The sequence below is a fragment of the Homo sapiens genome, chromosome 3, assembly GCF_000001405.40.
Source record: "Homo sapiens chromosome 3, GRCh38.p14 Primary Assembly".
In the NCBI taxonomy this organism is placed as follows: Eukaryota; Metazoa; Chordata; class Mammalia; order Primates; family Hominidae; genus Homo; species Homo sapiens.
This window is the reverse complement of record NC_000003.12, coordinates 174,203,838-174,223,821: the sequence shown is the minus strand read 5'-3', so window position 1 is coordinate 174,223,821 and position 19,984 is coordinate 174,203,838. Positions and strand designations below refer to the sequence as shown.

At 38.4% G+C, this 19,984-nt stretch overlaps 1 protein-coding gene across 36 annotated transcripts in view, besides 1 other annotated feature; it reads right to left on the bottom strand.

Annotated features, from left to right (window-relative positions):
• Positions 1–19,984, bottom strand: part of NLGN1 (neuroligin 1) — an 898,421-nt gene that overhangs the window by 70,551 nt on the left and 807,886 nt on the right. The window lies entirely within an intron of this gene.
• Positions 11,560–12,060: an enhancer, noted in NCBI's record as "H3K4me1 hESC enhancer chr3:173929552-173930052 (GRCh37/hg19 assembly coordinates)". NCBI's record gives its function as "activates a minimal SCP1, AML or CMV promoter by ChIP-STARR-seq in primed H9 embryonic stem cells {active_cell/tissue: H9 hESC(primed)}" and the evidence as "EXISTENCE:reporter gene assay evidence [ECO:0000049][PMID:30033119]".

Sequence of the window (19,984 nt, the reverse complement as noted above, 5' to 3'; positions counted from 1 at the left end):
ATTTTGGTCATGCTACTGTAGGCACCAAGTCATGTGGTGATTTGGGGCCTTTGGACATACTTGGTGATTTGAGATGCAAATATGCATTTATTTCTGTGAGCAGCAGGCGATAAAGTTTGAAAAACATTTATTAAAAAGGTACATATAAGATATTCAAGTGCAGTTGTCAACAAAGTTGTTATTCTGGATCTAGGATACACATTTAGAAGTCAGGAAAAGACATTCAGCTGCACACACTGATTTGAGAGTTGCCAGGGGCAGGTGTTAGTTGAAGGCAGGTGAGTGGGTGAGATTAGGTAAAGGAAAAGTGAGAAGGAAATAAATGCTAGAGAATACCAATATTAAGCAACAGACAGAGTAAAAGAGGTAGAAAAATGAATGAAAAAGGCGTACTGAAATCCGAGGGAGAAGACCAAGCTTGTCAGAAACTTAATCGTGTTTGATACTTTGCTTGCTTTCATGCCAAGAAAATTACAAAGATTTGAGCTTTCCCTGTAGGGACTTCTCATGAAGGACCAAAAAGACATTAATCAGAGTAAGAATAAACATAAAAAGCAGAATTGGCACGGTAATTTGGCACAAAAGGAGAGTGAGCTAGATAAAGCACATATTTAGGGGCGTGAGGTGAAGTGGGAGGTGCTACAAGGGCTAACAAAATGAAGTTGTCAGCTCTCCTCTGATCATTGTGAGAACTCTGTTAGGAGAGTTGAAGTATCTTCAGTGATTTACAGAAGAGATATATAAAATCCCTGACGGAGTTGAGATTGTCTGACCTCCTCTCTGGTGGCACAAAGCATATAAGCATCTAGGGAAATAAATTAGATAAAGTGAGATTGATTTTGAAAATGTGAAAAAAATATTAGTAGCACACTTTAAAATGTAAAGTACAACCTCAGAAGAGTAGAAGTAGAAAGAAAAAAGTTATATTTTCAAACAAACACTTCCATTTATATCAATTGAACAACTCTATACTGTAAAATAGATACAGATAGCAACTGGAATGGTCTAATCAACACCTGGGGAGAAACAAATGAAATAAATGAGCCAGTGGTGTGCAGAAGGGAGATTACATTTACATGTGTCTTATGAATCTGAAAACTGGAAGAGAACTGCAAACTCAGAGAAAAGAAAACTTTGCTTGCCCAAACAGGAATCTTATTTTGCCAGATATATTGACTGAGCTGAATCTAATGAGATTTTGTGTCAATGCAAAATAAACCCCAAACCTAACCTAGGAATCTTTCATTCTAAAAATGATTAGCTCAGAGAACCATGTTGATTGTGAAATAAGAGATGATTTGATTTGTAAGAAATATACAACACCCATTTACTATATAAAATAAAGTGTGCATTGATTTGTGGTGGGGATAAAAGTTTGGAAAACTTACGTTTAGTTTCTAACTTTTCTAACCAAGATTAACATTTGCCTACCAAATATCTATATAAAGTAAAAAATAAACTCTTAATTCTAGAATTATTTTGTTAGTTGAAGTATTTGCAAAATAAACAGGAAAATAATATACAACATGCTTTTACTATAACTATCTAAGAGGTTTCAGGTAAAATAAATGTTTGTGGAATAAATTAACATACCATAAAATCACAGACCGCATGATTGTGTATAGTATATACACGCAATAACTCATTAATAGAAACACTCATGATTTAAGTTATTTGAATGCTCACAGCTACTTATCTCAAAATACTCAAAGATACAGGGCTATGTGATTTCCCACTGAAGCTGGTTGAATAGATTCCCCCCAAAATTTATATCTGCAAGGAAACTCAGAAACTTATTTGTAAATAGGATCTTCTCAGATATTAGTGAAATTAAGATGGGATTATACTGGATTAGAAGAGGGCCAAAATCTAATGACAGATGTCTTTATAAAATGAAAAACAAAACAAAAAACATGAGCAACATTCAGATCCGACACAGAGACACAGAGAAGTCCATGTGATAATGGAGGAAGAGATTGGAATGACGCAGCTACATATCAAGGAACAGCAGAGATTACTGGAAGCCACCCAAAGCTATGAAGAAGCAAGAAAGGATTCTTTCCTAGAAGCTTAAAAGGGTGCATGGCCCTGCAAGCAACTTTACATTGGACTTTAGCCTCAGAACTTTGAGAGAATAAATTTCTCTTGTTTAAGCAACCCAATTTGTTACAGCAGCCCTAGGAAACTCATATGCCCCAGTTTTTAGAAAAAAAAAAAATTAATGTATGTTTATTTAAGTATAACTTATCTAAGAATCTGGCTTTTAATAAACTTATTGTTCATGACACCAAAAATTGAGTGCTCAAGATCATCTGGTAAGTCTGTGTCATAACTGGAACCCAAGACCAAGACCTATTTGGAGTCTTTGCTGTAGTCGTTGTCTCCAGATGCCTCTAACTTTATGAGGATAATTCTATAGAAAAATGACTGCTGTAAATTTTGCTGTCAGTCAGTAGAAGCTGGCAAAGTGCTGGTGCTGATGGTTTTTGTGATTAGTATGCAGGGCAAACAGCCTTACCCTCTGGCTTATAAAACAAGCTAAAGTGTCGCCTGCTTCCTCACCTCATCATTTCTAGAATGGTACTTACCTTTCAAACCACAAAACAGTGCTGTTGCCAAGGCCATAAAAAGTATTATATGGTTCTGCCTGCCATCTTTTCAAGGTGGGCTGGCAAAACAGAGGACCACAGACAGAAAAATGGAGTAATAAAGTTTAAATAGTAGGCAATAATATTAATCTGCTGTGCTGCAGTGCCGATTAAGAGATTGAACCAACTCCCTGCAGTTCTAATTGGATTTTCCTGTGTTTTCTTCAACCCTTAGGGCTTTACCCTGATAAATCCTATTTTTTCTTGCCATTTATTCTTCATGAATGACTCTATGTAATGGAATTATCTGTAAAAACACACAAATGCTTGTACTGCCATAGAATTCCTTTTGTGGCTCTCTTTGCAGATTGCAGACGTGTTGCTTTCTAAAAGGCAAGTAATTAATACACAGAATTGCTGGGCTAATTGCTGTCTACATATTTCACATGCATAATAAGATATAAGGCTATAATTCAGGTACAGGGAAAGCACAACCATGTGTAAATAATGCCCTAGAAAACTATATTATGTTAGGATTCAAAAAATGGATCTACACACTGTTCTGCATAATGTCTGAGGTAATCAATGTAAAAATGAAAGAGGAATAAAGTTTTACATATGCACACATCAAGTGTATTTCTCAAATATGTAAGGTAATTTTCACATGCCCAATTCATTATTATTTTTGAAATAATGTCGTCTTGGTCTAAATTTGTCTTCAAGTATGTGTGTGTAGCCAAAGAATATCTTTGTCAGGAAATGTTGCACATAAGGATGTAATTGCTGTTTATGATTCCAATAACAACCACGTTAGCTCTAGTTATAAAATATTAATTATATATCTCTAGGCCTATACCAGAGTGTATGAAACAGTCCTAATAGGTTCACTTCTGTAGGAGATCTCCATACTGATTTAGAACCAAAATTTTGATTTTATTGGTCCACTCAGTTTATCTGATTTCATCACAGAACCAGTGATTCTGCCACTTTCCTTTGTTATGTTTTTAGTTTTGACTTTGTCTAGTGCCATCCTTGAAACCACCTAGATTTTTCTACCAGAATCTGCTCACATAGTCCCAAACTCATCCAGGTGCTCAAACTTTCTGCTTTGGACTCTCAGGGCAAGGTCTCTGTTTTCGTTAGTGTTGTCTCTCTCTTTAGACTTTGTGGACACTTTTGTCCTGATTGCCAGAGCCTTACATTGCCTCCCTGCCTGGTCCCTTCCCACTACAGTCTTCATTATATTCTCTAACTTATTTTTTGCTGCCTTCCCAACAGCTTCTCTCTGTCTGACACCTGCTGGCTGCTCTTCTGTACTAATGCTGATATCTGGAAAAACTGAACTGCAGCCCGCAATCTTGCTTATTTTCTGATGGTGTATCTTGCTTCTGTTTCCTATTTTACTTGAACCAAACATTCCCTGACCATTTTGGTCTTTGGTCTTTGCTTTCAGCTCTGACTAGTGATTTCTAACCATTCACATCAATGAACGTTTATGGAACATCTGATTTGTGCCAAGGCATTGGACTATTGGGGATACAACGGTGAACACACACCAACCTGCTTTCAAGGAACTGATTATCTGTCCAGGGATAGATCTATTTTGTTGTACTCCTACGATGTACTAAGCAGTTTACACTTAAGTCTCCTTGCTGCAGTTCTCTAAGCTTAGCAGGTAATCATCTGAAATGTATGCTAATATCTCAGAGTTCTAGGCCTCATTCCAGATTTATCAATCAGATCTTTAGCTCTGGGGTCTAGTAATCTGCCTTAGCAAGCAACCCCTGTGATTATGCCATTGACAGCCTGAGGACCATGTCTTGAGGAATACTGTCTAACAACAACTCAATGCAGCAGATTTAATAAACCACAATTTCCAGATTAAGATACTGAGGACTGGAAAGTTATGTAACTTTCCCAAGTGAAGAGTGGAAGAAGCAGGATCCAAACCCAGTTTATGTGGCTTGAAAATCCTTGCCATCCCCACTTTACTGCTTCAGAGAACCTTTTAGCAATATCTTCCATGGGTTCCTGGTTCCTACTCCAGGGTGGTCTCCCAGATAAACTGTACATACTTATGGCACTAGCTGGTGCTATTGACATCATTTGCCAGAATTTCAGAAAATAGGAAACCATTTTTTTGATATCCTGACAAGTTGCCTGAAATACACTTGGGTATTTTGTCCTTATTTTAAAATGAGGGAAGATTGAATATGAACAAATATGGTAGAAAATGATCTAGGTCATAATGAATCACCAGCTGAACATAAATCAGGACTGTTCTGTCAGAACTAGAGCATCATCCCAATCTCAATAAATGGCAATAACAGCCCGGAGGCAATCCTCCCACTTTGGGAAACTCAAGACATGCTCCCAAACAATAGAAAATGGGCTACTGTCAGCTGGATCCCTGAACAGAGTGGGAAACATGGAGAATGTCAAGAGCCAAGAAAGCAAAAGTACAATGAAGCTCATGAGGGGAAAGATAACTTGATAAATATAGCTTACTTATCTGATATTCGGCTCAACAAACAAGGCCTCAATCATGCTGTCCTGATGCAATTTTCCAGAGAGGGTTCTCATTTTAAAGGGTCACTTTAGCCCTCATCTAAGAGAGTCCCAAAGAAGAGGATTCCTTGTCTTGAAGGGGATCTGCTGCACGGACCTTAACTATAATACCATTATGAGGTGAGGTTCTCAAGGCTGTAAGAGCTATTTATTGAAAAAGCAACTATCGGTTTGTGCTGAGAAGCAAAGAATAAGAATATTCATGGTGGGAAAGATATTGGGTGAATCAAGAAATATTTATGACTGAATGAAGTAAGGTATCATTTTACTTCAACCCTTTCTGATAATCTCCTTCCAATTCCTTAACCTCACTGAAGAAAAGATGATGCAGCAATACTGGAAAAAAAAAATTGTACTGGGAACATTTTTATTGTCTGCCTTAAATCCTCCCTACTGCAATTTTACCATATTACTCTTGGGAAGGTAAAGGGTAATCAATGAATGGTATTAGTCATAGTTTTCTTAGTAAGCTATAATCCCCTGGTGGCAGATTCTATTACCATGAATACTTTCATTTTAACCTTGCTTGATTATTTAAAGGGAACTTAAGTGGTATGGATTCAACTTGTCTAAAGCGTTAATTTTTCCCATGAAAAAGCTGGTATAAGCCATAAAAGAGCTGTGAGTGGGCCAAAGACAATTTTCCAAGGAAATTATTCATTGACTTAATTTACTTTAAATTGCAAAACTCTACTTCTAAAGTTCATTTATTTTCTGGCTCAGGCAAACTTATGAGTTAGGTGAAGTTTGTCTTCTTTATCCCCCTCAGTACTTTTTCTGGGGTATTCTTTTGGTGCTTCCCTCCAATGCCTGATGTATGTATATAGTCCCCTATTTGAACAAGGATTGTCTGTCGTTACGCCTTACTTGAGCCTGCTATATCGACTTCATTCTAGGTGCCTTCACCCTACTCTTTCTCTCTCATCCTGCCCCTACACTTCATAAAAACTGTTTCTCTCCAAAAGATAAGTTGAAGCTCTAACACTCATGTTATGGACTGAATTTCATGTTCCCCACAAAGTGGAGCTTTTGGGAGGTAATTATGTCATGAAAGTGGGCCTTCGTGAAGGGGATTAGAGCTCTTATAAAAGGGATCCCACAGAGAGGTCTCATGGGATTTTTGTGCCATGTGAGGATACAATAAGTCAGTAGTCTGCAACCTGATAGAGGGCTCTCACCAGAACCCAATCATGTTGGTACCCTTATCTTGGACTTTCAGTCTCTAGAACTGTGAGAAATAAATTTCTGCTGTTTATGAGCTGCCCAGTCTATGGTATTTTGTCAGGGCAGGCTGGCTGACTAGGACAGCCCATTACTGTAGATTATGTTTTCATTTGGAAATAGGGTCTTTGCAGATGCAATCAGTTAACATGAGATCAGACTGGATTAGAATGGGCAATAAATGTAGCATGACAATGCAGCATGTGGTCCTTATAAAAAGAGAATATTTACTGATACATAAGGGAAGAACCCCATGTGACATCAGAGGCAGAGACTGGAGTTATGCTGTCACAAGCTGAAAACCACTTGCAACTACCAGAACCGGAAAACGGAAGAAAGATCCTTATCTAGGGGTTTTGGAAGAAACATGACCTGCCAACACCTTATTTTTAGATTTCTAACTTCTAGAACTATGATATATGAAATTGCATTGTTTTAAGCAGCAAAGTTTGTGGTACTTTGTTGCAGCAGCCCTAGGAAACTAGAACAGAGACTAACTTGTTCAAATGTTTTTTTCTGAATAACTTACATATGTTTATTATAATAAGGCCTTCAGTAGACAATGACATTGCAGAAGCAATACCACTAATGATGTGACTCAGGTAACTGACAGGTCAATGGGAAAGGTGTTTTGAGATGGAAAGGGATCTGGGGCAGTCATCAATTTCACATGACAGGTCCTGATTCCAGGGTTTTCTGAGCTGACCTAGCATTACAACCTGACATCTAAACTATCCTGTTTGGAACTTCACTTCCTAAGTAATGCAAAGACAGGAAGGAACATGGCAAAGGAGGTAGTTATTGGTTGAGAGTCTAGGGTATCTCTCACTCTGGTAGATACTTGCTCTTGTCCTGCATTTTTGCTCCTCATACAGTCTTTTCTATTTCAGAAAGGGGCACATCTATCTACTCAGTTTCCCAAGACTAACACGACTGAAAGATGGGAAGAACTGATTTTCTTTCCCTTGAATCTTCAGCACCTTGCATAGTTGATGGTACATAGTATGTGTTCAAAAGCTATTTGAAAGAAAGAATGAAATAATAATTGATCCATAAAGCCTGAACTGGCTTATCCTCATGACAAGAAGTCACCATATGTTGTAATTTCGTGGGTTCTTTTCTGGGGAGTCCTATGTCCCTCTATTTGTCTCTCTCACACATTCTGTGAAGCCTTCTTTGTCCTTACAATGAAAACCCATTTGTGAGGACAAGATGTACAGAGGGTGGTGCTAAAGAGTCAGTGGGAGGAGTCCAGATCCTGGCCTCAGGTTAGCTACTAATGCAACACCTAAATTTGTAAAGCGCACAATTTAATAGGAATTATTAAAGAACACAGTAATGCAATTGAAAGTGGATTGGAAATCCAGTAAAATTGGATTTCTAATCTCTGTACTGCCAATAACCTACCCCTTGGGTTGTCATGAATCTCCTTTGGGTCACATTTTCCTCCTCTGAATGTTAAGAAGATTTGACTGTTGAAGAGGGAGCAAGTATAAAGCCGTTTGGCTCTGTGGGGAGAGGAGGTTTAGGAGGTAAAAGGAATGGAGAGAGGAAGGTTGTCCCACTGGGAGGCTGCAGTAGAAAAGATAAAATCACCATTTTATTTGGAGCCAGTGACGAGTGTAGAAATAGTTTTCTCTTACTGTCCTCAAATATATTCATTGGCAACACACTGCCCTTCTGTTAGATTTCCACAGTTTTCTGCGACCTACATTTGCTGTGATGTTTTACTGACTCGTTCATTTGAATTAGCTGCTTTTTTTGCATGCCTCCAAATGCCATTATGAATCACTGAAGCTCAAGACCATCTATCACAGTTACAAGGCATATAAAAGATGACAATCATCACTCGAATATCTTCTCTCCGCCTGAAACAAAGTTTTCTCAGTACAAAATAAATACTTTCCCTCCTGCTGGATTAGTTAAGATTTATGCTACTAATATGCAAATAGTCCCTAAAGTTTCAGATGAAGGGAAGCATTCAGTGTCTCAGCTCAATAATAGGCAGGAGGTATAATTTTAAATAGATATTTCTGCTTTGAGGCTTACCCACAGGCTTTTGAAAGTGTCACATTTTTGTCAGTGAGACAGCAAGTGGCACTCTGTGTGCTCAAATATTTCTCCAAGAAGTTCTCAATTTATGTCTTGAGCATACCAGAGGCCTATATGATAGCAGTTAAATCTAAACACCATTTGTGTCTTAGACTAAATATAAATTGCAGTATAAGATTATTGAATTTCTGAACTGAATGAAACCAAAGAAATAATTAAGTCAGAGGTGATGATCTGAAACTCAAAGTTTAGGTAACCCAACCGAGAAAAACTCCTGGTTAATAGTAGGTGGACTTGATATTCAGAAATTTTGACTTTCATTTGAGTTCCCTGTCAGTTCCCTGACAGTTTCTAATTATTTAAATAATTAAATAAGTGTGGCAGAAACTGTTCATTGCCACTGAATACCCATTTTCCCCTTCTTTTACAGATTTTATTCTGGGTAGCAATAATGTAACTAACCAAAAAAAATTACATTGCTTCAGGTAAATTTTAGACAATAACATATAAGTTTAAGTTTTTGGTGGACTGTCCTAAGAACCAGCATCTTGGACAATAAGATGGCCTTGAAGAAGGAACTCAGGGTAGGATTATGGAATGCTGGGTCCCTGATGACCACCAATCACCCTACTGACCATCTGTGAACTCTTTTTACTTTAGAGACTATGATTAGCTATTTTAAAAGCCACTTTTATTTTCAGCTTTCTATACTATAATATGGAGAATTTTAACTGCACACAGATTATTGCCATAGTTAAAAACAAACAAACAAAGCCCAGAAGTCTTTCTAAAAACTAAGTAACTGAATGTTTTGGTACCTACCATCATGGATAACCAAAAAAAGGCACCAAAAGGACTTGTGAATATGGGTCCATTCTTAAAGGTATAAGTATTATTTCAGAAGATAACACTAAAATATGTGCCTATAAATAGGTAAAGTAGTTATTAACATATTTAATAGGGAACACTGTTGTTGCATGAGCAAAGAAGGCTAAGAATTCACTAGTAATTGCTTCTAAAAGCTAGTTTCACTGTAATTTACTAAGCATTTCAGAAAAGCTAATGAAATCCAGGAAAATGACTGCATAATTCAGAAACTCAATACATGGCAAATATAATTCTGAAGAAACAATAAAAATAATGGAAAAATTTAAATTCTGAGAACATAATGGGCATTGCTTAATTTCATTTCTGATACTCTCTGATTTGTGTTGCAAAATTGCAACACAATTTATAGTATTGGCTGTAGTTTTGTATCCTTTAAAATTCCAGACATTAAAAATATACAAAACTACAGCTAATACCCTCAGAGTAACATCAAAAAAACCCCTTACGGTAAGTCAAAATTCTTTGAGTAACATTGTCCTAAGTGATTTATTTTTAAAGTGCTAAAAAAGCATGTCACATATATTGTTATGTTAATATTTGGGAGATAAAAGCCCTTTAAGGCAAATAATTATAAATTAAATATGGTAAAATAGCATCATGAAACCAGTGTTTTATCCCTAATCTTAAATCCAAGGAAGACAAATGCTATAAATCATCACCTAAAAATGTAATAGTTTTCAAAAGTAAATTATAACGTTAAAATAATTCAGTAATTTAAATTTTACTTTTAATCCCATGATTCTCCTTTCAGAATTTATTCTAAAATATTAAGAAAAATTATTCAAAACTTGGAAAGCAAGGGAATGAATGCAGTTCTTTTCAATGTAATTGTTTGTACAGGTTCTTCCATGGATTAAAAAATTGTCTAAAAGAATGCAAAGTGCAGACACTGGAATGCTACATTTTAACTAGTAGATTTCTGCCTGGTAGAAAAGAATAACCACAAAGGTTATTGTTTTATTATCACATGGGACATTAAACAGTTTTGCTTCTTATTGTTATTACTTATTGCTTACTATTATTATTTCAACATTGTTTGATTGATTATACATCTCTGTTCCTCATATATTCCTTTGAACCAGTCTTAGAATCATGGTTTCTTTAATAATTAATAAGTTGAATGAAATATTTGACATGTGTTTATCTTAAATTTCAAGGAAAGTCCTATTTTTAATTTTCAGAAAATTATACTCTAACAAAACATTTGACTATGGCTATGGACAACTATTATAGCAGAATTTATTAGCACCCAAAATTGCCCACAACTCAAATGGTACCGTATGCTCCAAAATTTAAACCATAGTTATTTTGAAAGAGGGAAACATAGCAATTATTTTCATAATGCTTCTTGTGATAGGCAGAAAAAAGGCCTCTGATGATGTCCACATCCTAATCCTCAGAGTTTGTGAATATGCTACCATATGTGGCAAAGGAGAGTTAAAGTTGCTTATAGAATTAAGATGGTTAATTAACTGACTTTTAAATAAGGATAGTATCCTGGATTATCCAGGTGGGTCTAATGTAATCACAGGGGCCTTTAAGTGTCAAAGAGAAAGGCAGAAGAGAAGGTCAGAGCGGTATGATATGAAAAGGACCTGACCAGCCTTGCAGCATTTGAAGATGGAAGAAGAGGTCATAAGCCAAGGATTGTAGGTAGCTCCTAGAAGATGCAGGAGGCAAAGAAATGGATTCCCCTTCAGGAAGGAACACATCTCTGTTGATGCCTCATTTTAATCTAATGGAACCAGTGTCAGAATTCTGACATGTGCAATTGTAATAAAATAACTTTGTGTTGTTTTAATCCATTATATTTGTGGTAACTTACTGTAGCAGCTATAGAAAACTAATAAACATCTCTGTATGTTGATAATGACAGGGATACATTCTGAGAGATGCATCCTTAGGTGATTTCATCATTGTGCAAACATCATGGGATACACTTACACAAACCTAAATGATACAGCCTAGTGAGAGGTGACAGCATGCTGGCAGTCCTCAGAGCCCTCGCTTGCTCTTGGCATCTCCTCTGCCTGGGCTCCCACTTTGGCAGCATTTGAGGAGCCCTTCAGCCCACCACTGCACTGTGGGAGCCCCTTTCTGGGCTGGCCAAGGCTGGAGCCCACTCCCTCAGCTTGCGGGGAGGTGTGGAGGGAGAGGCGCGGGCGGGAACCCGGGCTGCGCACGGCGCTTGCGGGCCAGCTGGAGTTCCGGGTAGGCGTGGGCTTGGAGGGCCCCGCACTCAGAGCAGCCGGCCAGCCCTGCTGGCCCCGGACAGTGAGGGGCTTAGCACCCGGGCCAGCAGCTGCGGAGGGTGTACTGGGTCCCCCAGCAGTGCCGGCCCACCGGCGCTGTGCTCCATTTCTCACCGGGCCTTAGCTGCCCTCCCGCGGGGCAGGGCTAGGGACCTGCAGCCCGCCATGCCTGAGCCTTCCCCCGCCTCCGTGGGTTCCTGTGCAGCCCGAGCCTCCCGGGCGAACACCACCCCCTGCTCCATGGCACCCAGTCCCATCGACCACCCAAGGGCTGAGGAGTACGAGCGCATGGCGCGGGACTGGCAGGCAGCTCCACCTGCAGCCCCAGTGCGGGATCTACTGGGTGAAGCCAGCTGGGCTCCTGAGTCTGGTGGGGATGTGGAGAGTCTTTATATCTAGCTCAGGGATTGTAAACACACCAATCAGCACCCTGTGTTTAGCTCAAGGTTTGTGAGTGCACTAATCGACACTCTGTATCTAGCTGCTCTGGTGGGGCCTTGGAAAACCTGTGTGTCGAAACTCTGTATCTAACTAATCTGATGGGGATGTGGAGAACCTTTATATCTAGCTCAAGGTTTGTAAATACACCAATCAGCACCCTGTGTTTAGCTCAAGGTTTGTGAGTGCACCAATCGACACTCTGTATCTAGCTGCTCTGGTGGGGACGTGGAGAACCTTTATGTCTAGCTCAGGGATTGTAAATACACCAATCGGCACTCTGTATCTAGCTCAAGGTTTGTAAACACACCAATCAGCACCCTGTGTTTAGCTCAAGGTTTGTGAATGCAACAACCGACACTCTGTATCTAGCTGCTCTGGTGGGGCCTTGAAGAACCTGTGTGTGGAAACTCTGTATCTAACTAATCTGATGGGGACCTGGAGAACCTTTGCGCCTAGCTCAGGGATTGTAAACGCACCAATCAGCACCCTGACAAAACAGGCCACTCGGCTCTACCAATCAGCAGGATGTGGGTGGGGCCAGATAAGAGAATAAAAGCAGGCTGCCAGAGCCAGCATTGGCAACCCGCTGGGGTCCCCTTCCACACTGCGGAAGCTTTGTTCTTTCGCTCTTTGCAGTAAATCTTGCTACTTCTCACTCTTTGGGTTCACGCTGCTTTTATGAGCTGTAACACTCACTGCGAAGATCTGCAGCTTCACTCCTGAGCGAGCGAGACCACGAACCCACCAGAAGGAAGAAACTCCGAACACATCTGAACATCAGAAGGGACAGACTCCAGACGCGCCACCTTAAGAGCTGTAACACTCACCGCGAGGGTCCGCGGCTTCATTCTTGAAGTCAGTGAGAGCAAGAACCCACCAATTCCGGACACACTAGCATGTTATTGTACTGAATACTGAAGGAAACTGCAACACAATGGTAAGTATTTGTGTATCTAAACCTAGAAAAGGTACAGTAAAAAGAATGTGTTATAATCTTATGGGACCACCCTCATATAGAAGATTTGTCCTGTTGCTCTGGCGTTGATAAAATGTCATTATGTGGCATGTAACTGTATTTTTTTAACTGCTACTTGATATAAAGCTAGGAACAGTTTAGAGTCCCAAGCTCTGAAGGTGAGAGCTGGTAGGGAGAAGAAAAACAGTAGAAAGACTTTGGAGCTATCTCTGTTCTGCCAATTATTAATAAAGAGATGGAAGATCTTGTTTTCTTTGGGCCTCAAGCTTTTTGCAGCTTTTAAATTCTGTGACATTTCAGGGCCTCAGAAAATCTAGTCATCGTGGACAATAGGCAGTCCTGTTCCATCCCCTGCCACCATTGCCAACACCAGTTGCCTCCATTAATCTGGCCTACTATACACTTTGAAGGGCATATTTATTTATTCAACAAATATTTGTTGTATAAATATTGTGTGCCAGATATACCTGAAGGTGCTGGAACTACACCAGTGAATAATATAGACAACAGCCTTCATCCCCTGTATCTTTCACAATGGGGAGACACAAATACACTGAGAACAAATAAGAAAGTAAATGTGGTAAATTCAGATAGTGATAAGTGATATGAAGACTTTCAAACAAGGGGATATGACAAATAAAAACTGATGCTTGTGAGTGAGGATGGAGTTGGAGGATACAGATGATGTGAATTTTATGAAAAAGGTATTTGAACTCATACTTACGTGTTAAGGGGAACCTATAATGTGATGATTTGGGGTAAGAACTTTCCAGGAAAAGGCATCAAAACATCTGTAAGATAAAAATGATCTTGGTGTGCCTAGAAAGAAAGATAATGCCAAGGTGCCCAGGACATTGTGGTTTGGATGAGGGTGATAGAGGATGCAGGTGGAAAGGTAAATAGACAGCCAGGCGCGGTGGTTCACGCCTGTAATCCCAGCACTTTGGGAGGCCGAGACGGGTGGATCACGAGGCTAGGAGTTCGAGACCAGCCTGGCCAACATGGCGCAACCCCGTCCCTACCACAAATACAAAAATTAGCCGGATGTGGTGGTGGGTGCCAGTAACCCCAGCTACTCGGGAGGCTGAGGCAGGAGAATCACTTGAACCCAGGAGGTGGAGGTTGCAGTGAGCCGAGATCACACCACTACACTCCAGCCTGGGTGACAAGAGTAAGACTCTGTCTCAAAAAAAAAAAAAAAAAAAAAAAAAAGAAAGAAAGGTTGATAGACACCAGGGTAGGCTGTGGGCATGTACCAATGTGGTGAACAGCATCTTTTCTCAAGTGACAATATAAGTCTACTCCAATAAATACATATTCTCATCTGACCTCACAACTTTGTTAGGCATTTACCTGCAGGAATTTGCTTGCCACTGTGTGATGGAGATACCCACTGGAAAATACGGGATGAATATTATTTTTATGCTAACGAGTACTGACAAGCAACAAACCTCGTGATGCTCTATACACTGATCTAAAGTGTATATAATGCATAGTGATAAAATACAATAAGAAAGAAGCAGAGTTATAGTGCAGTCAGAAGGAAGGATGGAGGTAGGTTTTAACAAATCAAAACAAAAGTAGCAATGCCTAAGTAGGAAATACAGAATTAGGTCGGGCACGGTGGTTCACACTTGTAATCCCAGCACTTTGGGAGACTGAAGCGGGTGAATTGTTTGAGCTCAGCAGTTTGAGACCAGCCTGGGCAACATGGCAAAACTCTGTTTCTATTAAAAAAATACAAAAATTAGCTGGGCCTGGTGGCATGTTCCTATAGTCCCAGCTACTCGGGAGGCTGAGGTGGGAGGATGTTGAGCCTGGGAGGCAGAGGCTGCGGTGAGCCTAGACCATGCCACTACACTCCAGCCTGGGCAACAGAACCAGACCCTGTCTAAAAAAAGAAACAACAACAACAGAAAAGGAAAACAAAAGAAAATAAAATACAGAATTACCACCTGCCTATATCACCACGTTACACACATTGCTCCCTGCATCATATAATACTAAACACCCTCACAAACAAAGGAATAGAAAGATAAACATTCAGTTCTTTTAGGTCTGCTGATGATATCCTTTGGGCCTTTGCTGATTGAATTGAGGTTCTAGGCATTGTGTTTACCTTCTGGGCCTCATGATTGATAAATTATTGTTCTCCTTTTTTTTTTTTTTTTCCCTATAATGGCGCTATCTTGCAATAGTTGTACCTCTTTGAAGGCAACATATAAGTAGGCTGTCAGATTTATAAATACAAGCTACTTAGGCCAGCTATGCACCAGTAATATTAGAGAGCACTAGAAAATTCCAGTGAGAACCTGCCCTATATCTGACCCTAGACTTAGCTTTCTAAAGTAATGCCAATCAGATCTAAATTGGGTGTTTGGAAGGGGGTCATATTGGCTGCAGTAATGGTGAGTCATCTACCTTCACCTGCCATTTGAGTGACCACCTGCTGTTTTATCTTTTTGTCTGAATAAACTTATTAAGTTACAGTAACAAATCAGATTATCCTCACCCCTGCCCTTTGCTTTGCAGATTTGGTACATCGTTTCTTAAGTGAAATAAAAGTTTGACCTAATCTAATTCAACCATATCTCCCTACCTCCCACAGATGATTCTCTGTTTGAAATGGGAATGTAAAGTCAGACTGCTGCTTTGATTTGGGTGGTCACGCAGGAAGCATAGAATTGGAATTGAATGATATTTTCATGACCTGGAAATAATGGGGAGCAGATGCCCATTTTATATCATCCATTCATGCCCCCAAAAGGCATTCTTAAGGAGTCTCTGTTAAAATAAATTGATTTGCTTTTTGCTAAAGGTTTGCTTTATAATGTGTCAAGGGGTTTGAAAAATACAGGCAGTATTCAAAGAAAGCAAACCAAATACATGCAGCGTTTGCATTTTTTACCAATTAGAACTTGGCAAGCAGTTCTAGTTTGCATATATTTCAATTAAGAGAAATTCATTTGTACATCTCTAACAAGAATATTAATTCAACTTCTACTGAAGGCCTAGAATGTGCAAATTTCTGTGCTTGACACCATGAGGGGTTGAAAGAGGCATAAGAGATTGTCGTTTGTTGAGACAGCAAGACACATGAACAAAAAATTATTAATAGCTATGAAAAGGTACAAGCAAATATCTTTGGGGACAATTGTCTCTGACTGTCTTACTTGAAGAATGAGATAAGAAAAATATCCTAGAGTACAAAATATTCCTGTTGGGGAAATTTCTCATAGCCTGTGGCCTCTGTATATAGAAGCCATATACATTTTGACTATCATAAAGTCCATTCAGTTCACACATTTGGCTTGGCAATATGACATGAATCAATTTCTTTGTAATGAAAAACATATTCATTTTATTTCTAATTGAGCTGAGAATAAATCTGCATTCTGTCTGTATCTTAGTACAGGTGCATTGATTTGATAGAAATGTATTGAGTGCCTACTTTATGCCAAATCCTGTGCCTGTGGCTGAAGAACCTGTTAGGGTCTTATTTTGTGTAGGATCTGGGCAGGGCCATTACACCAGGAGATACAATGGGGAGAGAGCGGTACACCAGCCAAGCATGTTATCTTTACTCAATATTGCACTTTTTGTATCCAATGCTTGTCTTTTTTTTTTTTTTTTTCATGAATGAGCTAAACAAAAAAACAATCTATAAAACACCTCCAGACATGAGCACCATTCAGTTTCAAAATCTCACCACTCTGGAAGAAGAAGAAAAAGAAAAAGAACTTTTAACATTCCTTCACTTCTCCCACAAGTCAACTGGCAGTCTCTGTGGCTGGGCGGGGTTGTTTTACTCATTGTGGATCTTTGATTGATGTGTGTGTTTCCATGGTAATCCTGAGACCAGTCCAGGGGGAATAAGGCAAGTATGGAGGATATCATACTTCAGACTTTCAACCAGAAGTACTTACTCTTGAACCCAAGAGGCTCACTCCAATTGAGAGTCTGTCTACATTTTGCCAGACCCTGCGCTGGGTTTTGCTGGGTAAACAAAGGCACACCCTTGCTTCCAAGAGTCTATCAGTTTCACAATGACAGGAACATGTGGTACTCCCTAGGTTCTAATGCTCTTTTCCCCATTCCACACAGGTCTTCAGAATACCAGTTATGCTGGGAAGCACAGCAGACTGTTCTCATCAAAGAAGAACTTATCATAAATTATTTTACCGGTAGCTGAAAAGCAAGCCGAGGGAGACTCTGAGAGGTAACTTCTATAGAGCACTGATAGGTTTGCAAAGCAGTTTAAAATGAACAGCAGTGGGGGCTGAGTGTAGGACACAGGCCCTCTTTCCTTGTCTTGGCTGGGGGCCTTGGTGGACAGCAGGGATGAGAGGTCTTGAGCAAATAAGAGGGGGTGGGCTATGAACCCCCTGGTGTAGTATGAGGTAAAAGATAAAAAGGTGCTCTAGCTAAAACGAAATTCAGTTTTGCCAAGGATTGATCTGCTTCCAAGGTGCCTGATGTTGCCTCCTTGACCTTGGTGGCTTGAAGTTGGTGTGATCCTCGAGCCCAGTATCTGATTTCGCCCCTGTCACTGCATGCAGAGGAGACCAAGTGAAGAAAGGAACACAATGCCTCCTCAGGGATTTTGGAGTTACCTGCTTAGAAGATTATCTGTGATTATTTTGAGAATACATGCTGCATTTTCTTGATCTAAAATCAGAGTCCATGTTCTTATTTGCTGGTTTGAAACAAACGTTGTCATCTTATTGGGAGATTTTTACCAGATTCATCTGGACTTTAATAATTGAAGTATTTTCTCAGTTGCTAAATTTGATTTTGGGTTCTACAGTGAACAAATTAATCACATAATTTTCATGTCCACTCCATCTATGTTGATTAAAATATTTAATACAAATAATAGTGGCCATGCCTACTGGGCTCTGGTTGCTGGGCACTGAATTGAAGCACTTTACATGTAGTTATTTCAGTGATACTCACGAGAATCCTATAAGGTTGAACTTAGCAGTTCTGGGACATACTTAAAAATAGGCTTTCTCTAGTATATATTGTGGAAACATATTAAAATAAAAAAGATACACATTGTCTAATCAGAATTTAAGTGCCACTGTATTTCCTATTTAATATATACAAATTAGTCATCTGTCTAGGTATTTCCTTTTCAGATACAAAAACACAGAAATTAGATAAGGGACATACTTACAGGTGATTTAGTTCATTTTTGCTATTGTAAAGCATAACTTACAAATGTCTATATTAACGCAATTTAAAAATATATACAAAAGACCAACACATATACAGATACTATGACAGCAAAATCACTGAAAAGTCCTGAGGAGTTGAAAACCTTAAAAATTACTACCATAATATGCATATTCTTTTCTGCAATAACAATAATTACTTTGATTTTTAAATGTTAACAAAAATTAAAACTTTTAATTTATATTACATTTGGAGAGTTTTATGTACTAAGTGTAGAAGAGGTGCTGAAGTAAGAGTGAGTAATGCAAATCTAAACATCTCCATTTTCTTTTTGAAAATTGCAATGTTATAATATTTAACTTTAACCTCAAGCTAATTGTATTCTAAAAACAGAATATGATACAATCAATGCTAAATCTTCAAGTGTATTGTTTTGAATATCTAAATTTTCTTAAGAGGAAATTTCAGTGGATTCCTAAGATTAGAAAAACCACAATGTATTTTCATGTTATTTAAGATATTAGTTGAACATATAAAAATTTTTTTTAAAATTTTGAATCATATTCAAATTAATAAAAATGCCACAATAGTTTGCTAACTATTTTGTGTTCAGTACAGTTACATAATTTCTGGATCAAGAGACTTCACGATCCTGTGATCATGTGACTAGTTTTCTGTGTTCTATTTCTGCCAACTCATTGGTGCCTATTACATTTAAATCCTTCTTTAATAAGCCCCTGCAGACTAGGATATGATAACTGGAAATGAGTAATCCAAAAAGATTTTCAGGTGACATCTAAAAAAAAAACCTGTTTGAAGTTTAGTTAATATGCATTTTAATGTTTTACTTGCCTAGAAATTAAAAAGTTGAAAAGTTGTGGTAGGTAATATACTAAGCTGTTTTAGAGATGAAAGAGTATCCGTGTTAACGATCAAAGTTTTCATCTGTGAAGCTTTTCTAGGGCATTAGTCACGGAAAGACCACAATCTTCTATAATTTACCATGCATAGATACAAATCCTGCTAATCAGATTACATTTTTGCTTCCTCATGAGCTTATGCTGTCTCAAGACTTTCACCCCAAACTTTATTATCAAAAAACCCCAACCCTATGTTTAGTGGAGCAAATACCAACAGAATCTGACACACTCTACTGAGAACATGTAGGACTTCAGTTAACATCCGTGGATGCATTTATCCTATGCACTAATCCAGTGGCTGATCGGCTGGAATGTTCAATGAAGATTTCTTTACATCAGTGGAAACACAATTAATCCATGCTTTTGCTAATCACATTTTAGGTTAAAATTTTTTTGATATGCAAAGAATATTTCTTCCTCTGGAAACAAGTTTACAGTGTTGTACAATGTTAAAATCTATTCTGATTAATTGTTTTTAAAGAACAACAAAATTGCTCTGGAATTAGAAGTTATCAAGAAAATACTTGGGGTAATAATAGGTCAATTTTGTAAAATTAAAAACAAAACAAAACAAAAAGCCCTACTGCTCCAAAAGAAAAAGATTTGGAGAAAAACACATATTTCATTAAAAATCACCATCTGATTTAATTTTACTTATGTAGATACAAGTCTGTTGTCTCTTATGTCTAATAGAAAGATATAAAATTGTATTTTTGGCATGAATTCATTTTAAAACTGTTAATATTAATGCTATGATAAAAAAGTCTGTATAATAATTGTAATTTTAAAATAATGACTCCAATAGAATTTCTATATTATCTGAAACAAATTATAATATCTACCCAGGAAATTTGTTTTGTGTCTGTGTTGCTATGGAAATCTTTTTTTAATAAGGAATGA